At 37.1% G+C, this 19,268-nt stretch overlaps 2 annotated features.

The window, feature by feature from the left end:
• Positions 3,887-4,386: an enhancer, noted in NCBI's record as "H3K4me1 hESC enhancer chr4:156473571-156474070 (GRCh37/hg19 assembly coordinates)". NCBI's record gives its function as "activates a minimal SCP1, AML or CMV promoter by ChIP-STARR-seq in primed H9 embryonic stem cells {active_cell/tissue: H9 hESC(primed)}" and the evidence as "EXISTENCE:reporter gene assay evidence [ECO:0000049][PMID:30033119]".
• Positions 4,387-4,888: an enhancer, noted in NCBI's record as "H3K4me1 hESC enhancer chr4:156473069-156473570 (GRCh37/hg19 assembly coordinates)". NCBI's record gives its function as "activates a minimal SCP1, AML or CMV promoter by ChIP-STARR-seq in primed H9 embryonic stem cells {active_cell/tissue: H9 hESC(primed)}" and the evidence as "EXISTENCE:reporter gene assay evidence [ECO:0000049][PMID:30033119]".

The following is a 19,268-nucleotide window of genomic DNA, read 5'->3' as shown; positions in this document are numbered from 1 at the left end:
AGGTGTGTTTCCATTTGTTTGTGTCGTCTATAATTTCTTTCAACAGTGTTTGGTAGTTTTCCTTGTAGAAGTCTTTCACCTCCTGGGTTAAGTGTACTCCCAAGTATTTTTTTTTTTTCCAGCTATTGTAAAAGAGGTTGAGTTCTTGATTTGATTCTCAGCTTGGTTGCCGTTCATGTATAGCAGGGCTACTGATTTGTGTACATTAATTTTGTATCCTGAATCTTTGCTGAATTTATTGATCAGTTCTAGGAACTTTTGGATGAGTCTTTAGGGTTTTCTAGGTATATGATTATGTCATCAGCAAAGAGCGATAGTTTGACTTCCTCTTTACTGATTTGGATGCCCTTTATTCCTTTCTCTTGTCTGATTGCTCTGGCTAGGACTTCTAGAACTATGTTCAATAGAAGTAGTGAAAGTGCACATACTTGTCTTGTTCCAATTCTTAGGGGGAATGCTGTCAGCTTTTTCCCATTCAGTATAATGTTGGCTGTGGGTTTTTTGTAGATGGCTTTTATTACCTTAAGGTATGTCCTTTCTATGCAAATTTTGCTGACAGTTTTAATCATCAGGGGATGCTGGATCTTGACAGGTGCTTTTTCTGTGTCTATTTAGATGATCATCTGATTTTTGTTTTTAATTCTGTTTATGTGGTATATCACATTTATTGACTTCCAGATGTTAAACAATCCCTGCATCCCTGGTATGAAATCCACTTGATCATGCTGTATTATCTTTTCGATATGCTGTTGGATTTGATTAGCTAGTATTTTGTTGAGAATTTTTGCATCTGTGTTCATCAGGGATATTGGTCTGTAGTTTTCTTCTTTTGTTATGTCCTTTTTTGGTTTTGGTATTAAGGGGAAACTAGCTTCACAGAATGATTTATGAAGGCTTCCCTCTTTATCTTGTGGAATAGTGTGAATAGAATTGGAACCCATTCTTCTTTGAATGTCTAATAGAATTCAGCTGTGAATTCATCTGATCCTAGACTTTTTTTGTTGGTAACTTTTAAATTACCATTTCAGACTTGCTGCTTGTTATTGGTCTGTTCAGAGTTTCTATTTCTTCCTGATTTAATCTAGGATGGCTGTATATTTCCAGGAATTTATTCATTCCCTCAAGTTTTTCTAATTTATGCATGTAAAGGTGTTCATAGCAGCTTTGAATGATGTTTTGTATTTCCGTGGTATCGGTTGTAATATCTTCCATTTCATTTCTAATTGTGCTTATTTGGTTTTTCTCTCTTCTTGGTTAATCTCCCTAATGGTCTATCAATTTTATTTATCTTTTCAGAGAACCAGCTTTTTGTTTCATTTATCTTTTGTATTTTTTTTGTTCCAATTTCATTTAGTTTTGCTCTGATCTTTGTTATTTCTTTTCCTCTGCTGGGTTTGGGTTTGGTTTCTGTTTTTCTAGCTCCTTGAGGTGTGACCTTAGATTGTCTAACTGTGCTCTTTCAGACTTTTTGATGTAGGCATTTAATGCTACGAACTTTCCTCTTAGCACCAATTTTGCTGTATCCCAGAGGTTTTGATGGGTTGTGCCACTATTATTCAGTTCAAATACTTTTTTAATTTCCATCTTGATTTCATTGTTGACCCAGTGATCATTCAGGATCAGGTTATTTAATTTCCATGTATTTTCATGGTTTTGAGGGTTCCTTTCGGAGTTGATTTTCAACTTTATTCCACTGTGGTCTGGGAGATTACTTGCTATAATTTCAGTTTTCTTAAATTTGTTTAGACTTGTTATGTGGCCTATCATATGGTCTATCTTGGAGAATGTTCCATGTGCTGATGAATAGAATGTATATTCTTCAGTTATTGGGTAGAATGCTCTGTAAATATTGTTAAGTCCATTTGTTCTAGGGTATAGTTTAACTCCATTGCTTTTTTGTTGACTTTCTGTCTTGATGACCTGTCTAGTGCTGTCAGTGGTGTATTAAAGTCCCCAACTATTATTGTGTTGCTGTCTATCTCATTTCTTAGGTCTAGTAGTAATTGTCTTATAAATTTGGGAGCTCCAGTGTTAGGTACATATATATTTAAGATTGTGATATTTTCCTGTTGGACTAGTCCTTTTATTATTATATAATGTCCCTCTTTGTCTTTTTTAACTGTTGTTGCTTTAAAGTTTGTTTTGTCTGATATAAGAATACCTACTTCTGTTCTCTTTTGGTGTCCATTTGCACAGAATAACTTTTTCCACCCCTTTACCTTAGGTTTATGTGAGTCCTTATGTGTCAGGTGAGTCTCTTGAATACAGCAGATACTTGTTTGGCGAATTCTTATTCATTCTTCCACCCCTTTACCTTAGGTTTATGTGAGTCCTTATGTGTCAGGTGAGTCTCTTGAATACAGCAGATACTTGTTTGGCGAATTCTTATTCATTCTTCCACCCCTTTACCTTAGGTTTATGTGAGTCCTTATGTGTCAGGTGAGTCTCTTGAATACAGCAGATACTTGTTTGGCGAATTCTTATTCATTCTGCCGTTCTGTATCTTTTAAGTGGTGCATTTAGGCCATTTACATTAAATGTTAGTATTGAGATGTGAGGTAGTGCTCTATTCATCATGATATTTATTGCCTTAACACTTTAGTTTTTATTTTGTGTTATTGTTTTGTAGGTCTTGTGAGGTTTATGCTTCAAGAATATTCTATTTGGGTGTATTTCAGGGCTTTGTTTTAAGATTTAGTGCTTCTTTTAGCAGGTCTTGTAGTCCTGGCTTGGTAGCAGTGAATTCTCTCAGCATTTGTTTGGAAAAGACTGCACTTTCCTTTATTTATGAAGCTTAGTTTTGCTGAATACAAAGTTATTAGTTGATAATTGTTTCATTTAAAGAGGCTAAAGATAGGACTCCAATCCCTTCTAGCTTGCAGGGTTTCTGCTGAGAAATCTGCTGTCAATCTGATAGGTTTTTCTTTACAGGTTACCTGATGAATTTGTCTTACAGCTCTTAAGATTCTTTCCTTTGTCTTGACTTTTGATAACCTGATGACTATGTGCCTAGGTGATGATCTTTTTACGATGTATTTCCCAGGTTTTCTTTGAGCTTCCTGTATTTGGATTTCTAGATCACTAGCAGGGCCAAGGAAGTTTTCCTTGATTATTCCTTCAAATATGTTTTCCAGACTTTTAGATTTCTCTTCGTCCTCAGGATCACCAATTATTCTTAGGTTTGGTCATTTAACATAATCCCAAACTTCTTGGAGGCTTTGTTCATTTTCAAAAATTCCTTTTAGTTTGTCTTTCCAAGTATTGTCTTTGTCTGATTGGGTTAATTTGAAAGCCTTGTCTTCGAGCTCTGAAGTTCTTTCTTCTACTTGTTCAATTCTATTGCTGAGAGTTTCCAGTGCATTTTGCCATTCTTTAAGTGTGTCCTTCATTTCCAGAAGTTGTCATTGTTTTGTATTCATGCTGTTTCACTGGAGATTTTTCCACTCATATCCTGTATCATTTTTTTGATTTCTTAATTTGGACTTTGCCTTTCTCTGATGCCTCCTTGATTAGTTTAATAGTCAACCTTCTGAATTCTTTTTCTGGCAATTCAGAGATTTTGTCTTGGTTTAGATCCATTGCTGGTAAGCTAGTGTGATCTTTTGGGGTGTTGAAAAACCTTGTTTTGTCACATTACCATAATTGTTTTTCTGGTTCCTTCTCATTGGGTAGCCTATGTCGGGGGAAGTTCTGGGACTCAAGGGCTGCTATTCAAATTCTTTTGCCCCACAGGGTGCTCCCTTGATGTGGTGCTCTCCTCTTTTCCCTGGGGATGGGGCTTCCTGAGAGCCAAACTACAGGGATTTTTATTTTACTTCTGGATTTAGCCACCCCACAGAGCTACTGGGCTCCAGGCTGGTACTGGGGAGTGTCTGCAAAGAGTCCTGTAATGTGTTCCGTTTTCAGGTCTTTCAGCATGAAAATCAGCACCTGCTCCAGTGGAGGTAGCGGGGGAATGAAATGGACTCTGTGAGGGTCTTTGGTTGTATTTTTGTTAAGTGTGCTGGTTTTGTGTTGGTTGGCCTCCCGCCAGGAGGTGGCACTTTCAAAAGTGCATCAGCTGCAGTTGTATAAGGAGGAGACAAACTTGTCCTAGGGTTGCCTTTGGATAAGTATTCAGGTTTCTCAGGTGGTGGGCAGGGCCATAGAGCTCCCAAGGGATTGTGTGCCTTGTCTTTGGCAACCAGGGTGGGTAGAGAAAGCCCATCAGGTGGGGGCAGGGTTAGGCATGTCTGAGCTCAGACTTTCTTTGGATGGGGCTTGCTGCGGCTGCTGTAGGGGATGAGAGTGTGGCTCCCAGGCCAATGCAGTTATGTTCCCAGGGGGATTATCACTGCCTCTGCTGCCTCACACAGTTCACCAGGGAAGTGAGGGAAGGCTGGTAGCCACAGGCCTCACCCGGCTTCCTCACAGCCCACAGCCCAAAAGGCCAGTCTCACTCCCACCGTGCCACCCCCCTCCCCCAGCAGCCCCAAGTTTATTTCCAGGCAGCTGGTGTGGAGGGCTGAGAACTTGCCCCAGGCTACAAGCATCCCAGCTGAGAAAGCAGGCTGACTCACAGTTCCTCAGCTGTCCCACTGAGACTGCAGCATCAATCCACCTCATTTGAAGGGTCTGTGGATTCTCTTGGCTTTCCTGGTATGTTCCTGTAGTAGTTCATGGAGCAAAATTCAAGAAGTAGGTCTCCACATGCTGCTCAGTTTGTCCGAGTGGGAGCTGCAAAATAGTCCTGCCTCCTATCTGCCATTTTCTTAATAAGCAGCCTACATTTAGTCCTTAATTCTTATCTGGAATAATCTTAACACTAGAAAAGCAGCAAAAATATTATTTCATTTAAAAATTATTACATAGTTATAAACAACATTTATTGGATGATGCATTCTTTTCCCACTGATTTAAAATGAACTATTTATCACAAATTCTTATATGCATTTTGATCTATGTCTAGCCTTTTTTCTTGTTCTATTTATTTAATTTAATATTTTATCATTTTCATACTATTTTTTAAACTTTCAAACTTTACAATATATTTTAATTTCTGATAGGGCATGCTTTCCTGCTTAATTTACATAATATTACACTCCTTTGTTCATAGTAAAGGATCCTTCTATCAGCGTGCTTCTGTTTACTTCCTCCCAGGCTTTGGCCTCTGTTGGCACGCATTTTACCTTTACACATTACAAACCCCGTATACCATGGGCTAGTAACATGTAATAGCAACATATTGTTATTATTTTTGCTTTAAATAATTACCTTTAAAGAGATTTTAAAAATATATTTTATATTTACATGTACATTTGCCATTCTGCAAGTCTTCATTCCTTTGTGTAGATACAGATTTCCATCTGGCATTGTTTCTCTTCTGACTGAAAGACTTTCTTTAACATATCTTGCAACTTGATCTTACATATCTTACAAATTTGTTCAGATCTCTTTTATGTTCTAAAAAGTCCTTAACCTTTAGTTTGAAAATTTGTTTCTTCTGTGCATAGAATTCCACATTCACACAACTTTTTTTTTTCTTTGAGGCAGAGTCTTGCTCTGTCACCCAGGCTGGAGTGCAATGGTGCAATCTCGTCTCACTGCAACCTCCAGCTCCCAGGTCAAGCAATTCTACTGCCTCGGCCTCCCGAGTAGCTGGGACTACAGGCATGCACCACCATGCCCAGCTGATTTTTGTATTTTTAGTAGAGACAGGATTTCACTGTGTTGGCCAGGCTGGTCTCAAACTCCTGACCTCAGGTGATGCACCCACCTCAGCCTCCCAAAGTGCTGGGAGACAAAATTTTCCTCACCGTCTTTCAATGCTTTAAAATGTTATTTCACTGTTTTATTATTTCCAACAGAAAGTCTCCCATTATTCTTATCTTTGTTTTTCTGTATTATACGTCTTTTTTCTTACACTGCTTTGTCTCCAGGATCCTGTGTCATCTTGGTGTCCCAACCTGCTCCTTTGTCCTCTCTTAGGATGGCGGTGTTGGGTCTGGCCTCCCCAGCTGTAGAGGAGGATGTAGCCTAAGCCAGGCCCCACCCTTCTTTTTCCCTGTTTCACCCCCAACCCCTGGTGAGCACCATATCTCTAAATTTGCCCAGAGTGAGACATTTACTGAAATAGTAAAAGTAATTGTTTAAAGAGAAAAAAAAAGGGGGGGGATCTCTTTATCTCTATTTTTTAGCATTTTGATTATGATGTGCCTTAGTGCAACTGTTCTTCATGACAGGCTTTTTTAATTAGGTACTAGGGGTTTCTTTGAACTTCTCAGACAAGAATCCTTATAGTTTTCATCAAATTGTAAAAATTTCCAGCTACTATTTCTTTAAATATGTTTTCTCACCTCCCCACCTTTCTTTTTATTTTTTTTATTTTATTTTTTGAGACAGAGTTTCGCTCTTGTCACCCACGCTGGAGTGCAGTGGCGCGATCTCGGCTCGCTGCAACCTCCGCCTCCCGTGTTCAAGCGATTCTCCTGCCTCAAGCTCCTGAGTAGCTGGGATTACAGGTGCCCACCACCACGCCCAGCTAATTTTGTGTATTTTTAGTAGAGACAGGGTTTTGTCATGTTGGGCAGGCTATTCTCAAACTCCTGACCTCAGGTGATTCGCCCGCCTCGGCCTCCCAAAGCACTGGGATTACAGGCATGAGCCACTGCACCCATACTGTTTTCTCACCTCCCCACCTTTTTTGGAGAGTTCAATTACATATATATTAGACTGATTTAAATTGTCGCACAGCTCACTGACACACTGTTTTTTTTTTTTAATTTCTTTTCGCATTTTACTAAATACTGCCTACTTCTTCAAATTTACTGATCTTTCCTTCTGTAGTGTCTAATCTGCTGGTAATCTTCTCCACTGTATTTTTTATTTCAGATGTATTTTTCATCTCTAGAAATTGGATTTTGATTTTTTATATCCATTTATCTCATTATGTTAATGTTTTTTTATACTGCCTTGATCATATGCAGTATGTTCTTAATAGGCATTATAACATCTACTAATTTTATCCTGGTTCTGTTTTACTGATTGATATTTCTCCAGATTATGCATATTTTCCTGCTTTTGGAGGGCATGTCTGCTAATTATGGTTTCAGATTTTGCAAATAAAAATACAGTTAAATTTGAGTTTCAGATAAGTAACTGTTAAGTACTGAAAGTTTATTCCCCTCCACCTCCAATTTATATGTTGAAATATTAACCTTCAATATGATGGTATTAGGAGGTGAGGACTTTGGGAAGTGATTAGGTAGGTCATGAGGATGGAGTCTTATGAATGGGATTAGTGACCTTATAAAAGAAATTCCAGATAGCACTCTAGCCGTCTTTCTGCAATGTGAGGATACAAAGAGAAATTGGTAGTTTTTCAGTCTAGAACAGGGCCCTGACCAGAACCTGATATTCTGGCACTTTGATCTCAGACTTCCAGCCTTCAGAACTGTGAAATATATATTGCCATTGTTTTAGTCTATGACACTTTGTTATATTAGTCTGAACAGACTGAGACAGAAACACAATGTTTTAGTATGAACATGTTCCATGAAATATTTGAGACATGCTTATACTAGAAAGATATATATTGTTTTTAAGAAATTGAAATTTAACTAGATTTTCTGTGTTTTATTTGGCAGTCATCATTCTGGTAATTTTTTTTTTTTTTTTTTTTTTTTTTTGCCAGATGTAAAATTGACATTGTTGTGTGCTGTACTATTTATATTTTTAAAAATATTTTGGGCCAGGTATAGTGGCTTACGCCTGTAATCCCAGCACTTTGGGAGGCCGAGGCGGGTGGACCACGAAGTCAGGAGTTCAAGACCAGCCTGTCCAAGATGGTGAAACCCCGTCTCTACTAAAAATACAAAAAAATTAGCCAGGTGCAGTGGCACGTGCCTGTAATCCCAGCTACTTGGGAGGCTGAGGCAGGAGAATCGCTTGAACTCAGAAGGCGGAGGTTGCAGTGAGCTGAGATTGCACCACTGCACCACTGCACTCCAGCCTGCGCCACAGAGTGAGACTCCGTCCCCCGCTCCAAAAATAAAAAAGTAAAAAAAAAAAAAAAATATATATATATATATATATAAAACTGTTTTCTGAGATTTAGTTAAATTACTCGGAACCAGTTTGAGACTTTTGGGGTTTGCTTTCAGGTGTTGTCAAGGTGGATCAGACACAGCTACTAATCTAAGGCTAATTCGGTTCCCCTTCTGAAAAAAAACATCCTTCTAAGGTTTCTACTCAATGCCCTGTGTGTTAAGAAATCTTTCCATTCTGGCTAATGAGAACCAAAACTTTCCCCAATCCTTCATCATGATTATTCTACTGACTCCTTTCCAGTGGTCACTCCCTCCAACCCACCCCTGGGTTTAGTAGTTTCCTCATATACAGGAAGTGATCAGTACTCAAAGACACAAGGGGTGTCTCTGTGGAATTCTGGAACTTACCATCTGTGTGACACCTTTTCTCCAGAGCTCCACCGCATAAATTCGAGCTGCCTTGACCTCCATGAACTCAGAGCTCAGTCTCTTTACTTATTGAAGCTTTTGGCTTTGTTTGGAAGTCCTGATTCTTGTGCTGGAATTTGAAAATTCCAGGCAGTAAGTTGGAACATGTGTTGGGCTGCAAACTGGGAACTCTCTCCAGGCAGTGAGTTGGGACACTTGTTGGGTTCACTTGCTTTGTTTTCCTGGCCTGTACTACCTGTCATCCAGTGATCTAAAATTGTTATTTCATATATTTTATTTTTTTCTTATTTGTTTAAGCCAAGAATGTAAACTTAGTAACTGTTATTTTAACATGGTGAGAATCAAAAGTTTTTTGAATTTTAATCAGAAACATTATATTTTTATAATAATTTAGGAACATTGATTATCATTATAATATTAAGACTTCCCATTTAGTAATATGTTAAAAAGTTTAATTTATTCAAGCCTTTTAGTATCTTGCAGGTAAGCTGAACTTCATATGGGTTCTGCATATCTCCAACTAAAATTATTCAAATGTATTAAATGCTTTTTTATTGTTATATAATAGTTAATGAGGTATTTTGCATTTATATTTCTAATAAATTTTTGTCATCATATTAGAAAACGACTGATGTACATATTTTGTTACTGGACAAGTTCCTTCACCATGCATTTTCATTTTTAGTAGTTTTATAATTATCATTTAGATTTTGAAAATAAAACAAATTCTACCGTTTATGCTTCTGTCTGTAGTATGACTATCTCTCTTGCTGCTCATTGAGTGTTTGTTATGTGCCAGTTACTGAGGTATGCTCAAAAACTGCCTAATTTATTCTTATCAAAACCTTACGAGGTAGTTACTATGCTCCTCACTGAAAGTTAACTAAGGCTCAGAGAGTTATTAATTGCCAAAATATAGACAACTAATAAGGGATAGAGACAATAATTTACCTAACTTGCTGGATTGAAATAGTGTACTATTGTGTTTTAAAAATGCTTATAATTTAAAAAAATTATAACTTTATCTTTTTTTTTGAGACGGAATCTCACTCTGTCACCCAGGCTGGATTGCAGTGGCGCGATCTTGGCTCACTGCAAACTCCACCTCCCAGGTTCATGCCATTCTCCTGCCTCAGCCTCCCAAGTAGCTGGGACTACAGGCGCCCGCCACCATGCCTGGATAATTTTTTGTATTTTTAGTAGAGACGGGGTTTCACTGTGTTAGCCAGGATGGTTTCGATCTCCTGACCTTGTGATCTGCCCACCTTGGCCTCCCAAAGTGCTGGAATTACAGGTGTGAGCCACCGTGCCCGGCTTATCTCTTTTTTTAACACTAAAATTCTGTTATATTTTTCTTATTTTATTAGATCAACTGGAAATTCCATATCAAAATTAATGTATAGTTTTGGTAGAAGGCATTATGAGTATCTTCTTGACTTTAATGAGTATGTCGATAGTGATAATAACAATTATAATAATAATGGTTATCATTATGGTAGAGGTAATGTTACCTCACAACATTATTCCAACCAAAACAAGACATAATAAAAAGAATAAGGTTCCAAAATGAGAGTCACATGGTTTTAATCTAATTTTGATAGTATGTTGGAAAGTAGGTGATGTGTAATTCTTTACCCCTTGACTGTGGGCCTGGACTGTGTGACTCATTTAACATGACATAACCAAAATGTTGCACAGTGTTTTTATGATGGGCTTGATGATGTGGGCCTCTGTCATCATCACAGAACTTGCCCCAGTTGCCCTCCGATTGTAGAAGGCCGAGAGATACGCAATGCAGTCTAGAACCACAGCCCCTCAGGGTAAGCAGAGCTATCCCAGCCACTGCAGCCTAAGACATAGCTGCACCAGGCAACCAAGAATAAATGCTTGTCATTTTATAGCACTCAGTGTTGGGATGGTTTGTTATACAGTATGATAACAGGAATAGCTAATTAGTATAAGTATTTCCTTAAAATATTGTTTTCATTTTTTCATTAAATATTTATTAAGCATTTACTCTATGCTGTTGTGATGATAGGTACTAAGTCTGAAATAGTGAACAAGAAAGAGACAATATCTACCCTCATGACACATATTCTCTGGAAGTGTGAGAAAAGTTTTTTGAAAAGTATAATTTTCAACATGAAGAAAAGCAGAAGAGCCCATTAAAAAAAATCTTATTTTCGCAGTGTTGTCAGAATTGTTTTGAAATTTAAATATGCAAATAATATTAGAGAAGTAGAACTACTCAGAGGAAAAATGGTTGAAAAGGTTGGCAATCAATTTACTAAGAAAATTTGAAAAATTATTTTGACTTAAGTAATGTTAGTTTGGATTAGAGGAATGAAGATATAAACCTACGAAACATCCATATGAGGCTGTTCTTATTGGAACCTTGTGTAGCTATGTACCAGTCTATATAAATAAATGTGTAACATATATAAAATATGCGTACATGAATACATATATCACAAAACACATCATTTTATAAACATAAGAGAAAATAATACATATAAGGAAAATATATGGAGAAAATGAAATCAATAATGAAAATGAGCTACTGTGCATAGTCTATTCCTCATAAATTCTCATAAGATAATTTGCACAGTCCTGCAATGTGCTATTTAGTTAAAATTGCCTTTGGAAGGATGTGGAAGTGTGCCAAACTGAGATCTAGATATAATTAAAGGAAGCTGCTTCTCGTTCCTGTCATATAAATCTTCTGTAGAACACTGTTGGTTGTTATGTAAGAATTGTTAATATTCTTAATTCCATCAAAGTATCACACAAATGAAAACTCGCTTTAGATGTGGAGGACAAAACTTGCCACTCCCCTTGTCTGGGATACCAGCTCTGGTGGCCTGTATTCATGCTTGACTAAAATGATATGATACTGCCTGCAAATGATACTTTTCCATGGCAGAGATCCACATTCTAGCTGCACCAAACCCATACAAATGTGGTCCCTTATTCAAAAACCGGGAAAAAAAAGCTCTTTCTTCCTTCTGCATTCTACAAGTATCTTTGGATATGTTATTGTATTTTTTATCTGTTATTTAGCGTCATGCTCCGTGGACATGGGGATACTCAGCAGTTAAGTGCAGATCACTACAGACTCCTGGGGCCCTTGCACACCTGCCCTAACCTTCCCTGTTCCCACGCTCAGGCCCCTACTGGGGGCAGAGGGCAGCAGTGGTTGCTGGGGAGCAGGTAACCAAAAGCCCATTACAGAGAGACAGAAAGGCAGCAATGGAAAGTGTGCCAGTAGGAGGCGGGACATGCATGAGCGGAGGTTTTAAGCCCCTAGCAAATGCTTGATTGTCCCATTAGCTGTCACTTACAAAACACAAATTCAAAGATAAAATTATTAAGAATTTCAAGAATGAGACAGAAAGGCATTAAACCTCAAGAAAGGGGCCTGCTTCTGCGTGTGAGGTTTTGAGCTAGAGCTCTGTCCGCTGGACCTGTGAAGTGGGCCCTGGGGTGCGATTGTCTCAGAAACTGAAGTTTCTGTCCCTGCCCTAGCCCTTGACATTGATGTCCAGCTCTGCAGCTTGGCAGTGCACTCTAACAGTTATTTCTCAACTGCAGCTGCTGGAAATTAGGCCATCCCCACCCCCAGCTGGTATCCTCTAGCTCTGGGTTCCTGAGCTTTTTGTCTACAGATGGAGCGGGGACGAGTGCTCTGTATCCTGAGTTCCCCAGCATCCTGCCCCTGTTCTCAGCTGCTCCTCCACCACCGACCAGAATAAAATTCAGAGGTCAGCTGGCTCCTGTGTTGTGCTTTCTCCTTCAGGGTAACTGTAGCTAAAATTTCTAGGCTCATAGGGATACACCCCTCTCTACAGCTGTATTCAGTGTGTGATTTGGAGCAAATCATATCTACTTCTCCAGATAGCTAATTTCAGCAGAGATCAACTATCCCATTTTTAGTGAGAACTTCAAGCCCATTATGTGGTTTATATCTTTAGCTTTATCATCAAGGCCACCTATGCAGCTTATACAGTTTCTCTGGGGTTGGGAGTGCTATAGTCTGTATATTCGTTTTCCTCCAAAATTAATATGTTGAAATCTAAGCCTTAATATGTTGTTATGAAAAAGTGGGGCATTTAGGAGGTGATTAGGTCATGAGGGCTCCACCTTTGTGAATGGGATTGGTGTCCTTACAAAAGAGGCTGAAGGGGAATGTTTGTTCTTTGGATCCACAACATGAGGACCCAGCCAGAAGTGCCATCTTTGAAGCAGAGAGCATGCCCTCTCCAGACACCAAATCTGCTGGCGCCTAGATCCTATACTTCCCAGCCTCCAGAATTTTGAGCAATAAATTCGTTTTTTCTTTTTCTTTTCTTCTTCTTTTTTTTTTTTTGAGACAAAGTCTTGCTCTGTTACCCAGGCTGCAGTGCAGTGGCACGAGCTCGACTCACTGCAACCTCCGCCTCCCAGGTTCAAGTGATTCTCCTGCCTTAGCCTCCTGACTAGCTGGGATTACAGGCACAAACCACCACACCTGGCTAATTTTTGTATTGTTAGTAGAGATGGGGTTTCACCATGTTGGTCAGGCTGGTCTGGAACTCCTGACCTCATGATCCACCTGCCTCGGCCACCCAAAGTGCTGGGATTACAGACATGAGCCACCACACCCGGCCTGAGCAATAAATTTCTATTGCTTACAAAGCATCCAGTGTAAGGTATTTTGTTATAACAGCCTGAATGGACTAAGACAGGAAGTGAGGGGAAGGCTAGAAATTAATGGCTCTCAAAGAGTCACATCCTGCAACAGCTGAGTCAGACCAAGAAGCTCAGTTCAGGCCAAGCTGGGTGGGATCCTTTATTTGAGTGCATCTATTCTACAATCTTCCATGTGATCAGCTGTAAGTGTTGGATCTACCACTTGAGAGCAGAGTTTCAGGGGACAGAGGAAAGAGGACATCCTGACAGTTCATCTGACCCGTGAATACTGAGAATATTCAGCTCTGGAAAGGCCAACTGTAGGGAGCAGTGGGAAGATGCAGGAGCTGAGATTCAGTCAAAGGCTTGCAATCCTGGAGACACAGATTGCAAAAGCCCTGTCCACAGCAAGGGCTGGATAGAAATTTATCTCTGGTAAAAGAGTCTTTGCCAAAGTATTTTGCTTTATGAATTCACCATCATAGCCAGCCACTCTCTCTTTTTATTTATTTTTATTTATATTATTATTACTTTTTTGAGAAAGAGTCTTGCTCTGTCGCCCAGGCTGGAGTAAAATGGCACGATCTCGGCTCACTGCAACCTCCTCCTCCCAGGTTCAATCAATTCTCCTGCCTCAGCCTCCCAAATAGCTGGGATTACAGACGTCCACCACCACGCCTGGCTAATTTTTTGTATTTTTAATAGAGACAGGGTTTCGCCATGTTGGCCAGGCTGGTCTTAACCCCCTGACCTCAGATGATCCACCCGCCTTGGCCTCCCAAAGTGCTGGGATTACAGGCGTGAGCCACTCAAAAAATAATAATAATGTGAAAAAATACCTAGATATTACCTACACTTCCTCTACCCTCTGCCTGAAGGAGGGTAGCTTAAATATGTGAAATAGTATGAGCTCCCAGAGCAAGCAACACTGCTCACTCAGGGTTTGGGAAGGCGCACAAGCAGAGGTCTTTTAGCAAGATGCTGCCATGCCCCTTTAGTGGTTGCTGTAGACACACCCAGAGATGGGGAAGGAGGTCATGATTGCTTATATTAGGTTGGTGCAAAAGTAATTGCGGTTTTTGCCATAGGTATTTTTCCTATGGCAAAATCGCAATTAATTTTGCACCCACTTAATATTACTTTGCTCACCAGAACTACTATGGGTTTGTGGTGAAATTCAATTACAAGATCTTTTTTATTAAGATATAAACAGATATATTTCTTCCATAAGTGTGGAGATACCAAGATAAAAAGGCAAGAAACAAGAAGAACAAAAGAAGGGGACATTGGGCAGAATATCCTTGGATGTTACTCATTTTTCCTGAGTGCATGTATGTAGTTAGTTATATTTTAGATAGGTTTGCAACAACCCTGACAGACGTTTCTTGAGAACAGTGACCATATTTGTATTAGTTTGCTAGGCTACCATGACTGAAACACAGAAATTACTGTCTCACAGTTCTGGAGGCTAGATGTCTGGAATCAGGTTGTCTGTGGGGTTGGTGCCTTCTGAGGCCTGTGAAGTTCTGTGTCTCTCCTGTAACTTGTGGTGTTTTGCTGGGGATCTTTGGCATCCTTTGGCTTCTCTGTTGCATCACCCACATCTCTGCCTTCATCTTCACATGGAGCTCTCCCTGTGTGCTGTCTATGTCCAATCACCCCTTTTTAAAAGAGCGCCAGTCATGTTGGATTAGGGGCTCACCCTACCCCGGTATGATCTCATCATAACTAATTTCATCTGCAAGAGCCCTATTTCCAAATCAGGTCCCATTCTGGGTACTGGAGGTTAGGATTTCAACATATGCATTTGGTGGTGGTGGAGAGGACAAATTAATGCATAACAGTAAACTACTTAACCTATCTGCTTTTCGGAGATGAATCATTAGACAGTGGTGCCAGTGGTCTCAGATTTCATTTAGTAGATTTTCATGAGTTCCCTTAGGAATCCAGCTTAGCCATTTCCCAGGGGACATCGAGGTCTTTTATTCTGTAAACCCAGGGGAATCTCAAACCTCTCCCGACCTAACAGGGTAGTAGGGGTGTCCAGCAAAAATAGCTTCTTCTTTCTGAGCCATTCCAGAGGACGCTAGTTCCATCAGTCTTTGTTTCTCTTTTCTTTTTTTTCTTTTTCTTTTTTTTTTTTTTTGAGATGGAGTATCGCTCTGTTTCCCAGACTGGAGTCCAGTGGCGTGATCTCAGCTCACTGCAAGTTCCGCCTCCCAGGTTCGTGCCATTCTCCTGCCTCAGCCTCCTGAGCAGCTGGGACTACAGGCGCCCTCCACCACACCTGGCTAATTTTTTGTATTTTTAGTAGAGACAGGGTTTCACCGTGTTAGCCAGGATGGTCTCTATCTTCTGACCTTGTGATCCGCCCGCCTCGGCCTCCCAAAGTGCTGGGATTACAGGCGTGAGCCACCGCGCCCGGCCTCTCTTTTCTTGAATATTACAAAAATCTTAACCTAGCCAGGCGCAGTGGCTCATGCCTGTAATCCCAGCACTTTGGGAGGCTAAGGAGGGTGGATCACCTAAGGTTAGGAGTTGGAGACCAGCTTGGCCAACATAGTGAAACCCTATCTCTACTAAAAATACAAAAAGTTAGCTGGATGTGGTGGCGGGCACCTGTAATTCCAGCTACTCGGGAGGCTGAGGCAGGAGAATGGCTTAAACCAGGGAGGCGAACGTCACAGTGAGTCGAGATCACGCCATTGCACTCCAGCCTGGGCAACAAGAGTGAAACTCCGTCTCAAAAAATAATAATAAAATAATAAAAAAATTAAAATAAAATAAAAAATCTTAACCTAATTCCAAAAGAATATAATGCTTTTAATTTATAATTTTTATTATAAATTAAAATCTTGAAAATAGTATTAAGTTGGAAGTATTAATTTATTATAAATTAAAGTCTTGAAAATAGTATTAAGTTGAAAGTGGAAGCCACAGTGTTCTCATAATTGCTCTAACAAGACTTCATGAACTTTATCTTTTCCATAAATAATTATTCTATGCACAATACATTTCTACAATAACATATTACATGAACTATAAAATGAATAACTCCCGATATGTGTTCTTTTATAATCTGAAAATCAAATTGAAAATTGACCATGAAAGGCTTTGAGCTAAAAGAAATCATTTGGCAAAATGGAATGGAAAAGTTTACTTTTATGTTTAAATATCCTTTTAAAAAATGATGCAAAGAATAAAATGATTTGGAAGCAGACATTATAATAGCAAAAATAGGCTTAAAGAGGAAAAGTAAAGAATATCCTGTAAATTTTAGATTTTAGGTAGTGGGAGAAATGTATTTTATAGGTAAAAATGTCATTGAGCATTGCATTCCAATCAATTTCTATACAACTTGTTCCTGAAATGACTGTCAACAGGGCGTATTTAGTTCCATACTCACTTTTGAAAAGTAAGATTGATGGTTCAGTTACTGAAATATGTGGGAAGAGGGGTTGGAAGAGCAAGAGATTCATTTCCTGTCAGAATTTTTTGTAGTTATGTACCCAAACTGGTAAGTCAGGACAGGTGTGAGAAAATAAGGGGGCACCAAGAACAGGATCTAGGCTCCACAGGGTTTGGGAATGGGCATATATCAGTCAAAGCCTTCAGTCCTCCTGACGACTCACTACAATAGAAAGTTGGACAGCCCTGGATTCCCAGATCTCGGTGAAATGTGAAGTGGATATTGCAAAAAACTTAGGGAGTATTTACAAGATCAGGAGGTAAGAAAAACATCTATCAATGACTCAGGCATAAGAAGCAAGCCAGGGCCAAAGATTTTACAAAAGCTTGTTGACAAAACCCCATCCAAGTTGTCTGGGGCCTAAAGCTGCACAATACAATTGGAAGGATGGTTTTCTTTTTAAAAAGAACGCAAAATTACAAATACAAAAGTAGGTACAAAAGTAAATGTTAGTTTAGAATGACAATAGAAAACATAACCAATTTCCAGAGTCTTAGAGATTCATTTTTTGGAATATTTTCAGTCAACTTACCATAAATGTCTTCTTAGCCATAATCCCTGACTGAAGCTTGGCTTCTCTTCTCATCTAAATTCTGCTAGGCCACCTGACAAATGACACAGCTTGAGGGTTCCAGATAAGGAAGGAGCCCTGAAGTTTAATCCTCCTTAGCTTCTCTAGAAATCCATCTTGTTTGGATCATAAATAGCCAGATTATTATTTTATTTTTTATGTATGAATTTATTTATTTATTTTTTGAGATGGAGTTTCACTCTGTCACCTGGGCTGGAGTGCAGTGGCACGATCTCAGCTCACTGCAACTTCTGCCTCCCAGGTTCAAGCCATTCTTCTACCTCAGCCTCCCAAGTAGCTGGGCTTACAAGTGAGTGCCACCACGCCTGGCTAATTTTTTGCATTTTTAGTACAGATGGGGTTTCACTATGTTGGCCAGGCTGGTCTCGAACTCCTGACCTCGTGATCCACCTGACTCAGCCTCCCAAAGTGCTGGGATTACAGGCATGAGCCACTGCACCCGGCTTGCCAGATTATTATTTTAAAATTGCAGGCAATGACGTTCCAACTCCCGTTAATATTGTGGAATCCTAGATCAATCTAAGTGTTTATCAACAGATGGTTGGATAAAGGAAATATTATATATATATTATATATAGTATATATATTCTATATATAATTATAGTATATATATTCTATATATAATTATATATAGAATATATATACTATACATAATTATATATAGTATATATATAATATATACTATTATATATAGTAATAGTATATATAATCATATATACTATTATATATAGTATATATTATATATAATTATAATATATACTATATATTTTATATATAGTATATATATTTAGTATATATAATTATAGAGTATATATAATATAATAAATAATAATATAATAATGTATATACTATATTATATATAGTATATATATTTTATATATAGTATATATAGTATATATATTTTATATATAGTATATATAGTATATATATTTTATATATAGTATATATAGTATATATATTTTATATATAGTATATATAGTATATATATTTTATATATAGTATATATAGTATATATATTTTATATATAGTATATATAGTATATATATTTTATATATAGTATATATAGTATATATATTTTATATATAGTATATATAGTATATATATTTTATATATAGTATATATAGTATATATATTTTATATATAGTATATATAGTATATATATTTTATATATAGTATATATAGTATATATATTTTATATATAGTATATATAGTATATATATTTTATATATAGTATATATAGTATATATATTTTATATATAGTATATATAGTATATATATTTTATATATAGTATATATAGTATATATATTTTATATATAGTATATATAGTATATATATTTTATATATAGTATATATAGTATATATATTTTATATATAGTATATATAGTATATATATTTTATATATAGTATATATAGTATATATATTTTATATATAGTATATATAGTATATATATTTTGTATATAGTATATATAGTATATATATTTTGTATATATAATTATATATAATTTAGTATATATAATTATATATAGTTAAAATTATATATAATATATAATTAATATCTATATATTTTATATAGTCACACATATTTATATATATTTTATATATTTGTATATAATTATATATTGATAAATTATATCATTGTATATATTATATATTATATACAATTGTATATTATATATTATATGCAATTGTATGTATATTATATTGTATATATATTATATAATTATATATGATTACATATTGTATATATATTATATATTATATTGTATATATAATTTTATTGTATATATTGTATATTCTATATTGTATATATAATTATATATATAGTGAAAGGTGAAGTGTATATATTATATATGATGTATAATATTATATAATTATAATTATACATAACATATAAATATATATTATATATAAACAATAATATATAAATATGTAACATATAAATATATAAAATTATACATATATGCATAATGGAATAACATTTAGCCATAAAATGAAATCATGTCTTTCACAGCATCATAGATAAAACCAAAGGCCATTGTCTTAAGTAAAACAACTCAGAAATGGAAAGAAAAGTACTACAT

Source organism: Homo sapiens, chromosome 4 (assembly GCF_000001405.40).
Source record: "Homo sapiens chromosome 4, GRCh38.p14 Primary Assembly".
Lineage (NCBI taxonomy): Eukaryota > Metazoa > Chordata > Mammalia > Primates > Hominidae > Homo > Homo sapiens.
The sequence above is the reverse complement of the archived record's forward strand: the minus strand, read 5'-3'. Positions and strand labels throughout refer to the sequence as shown.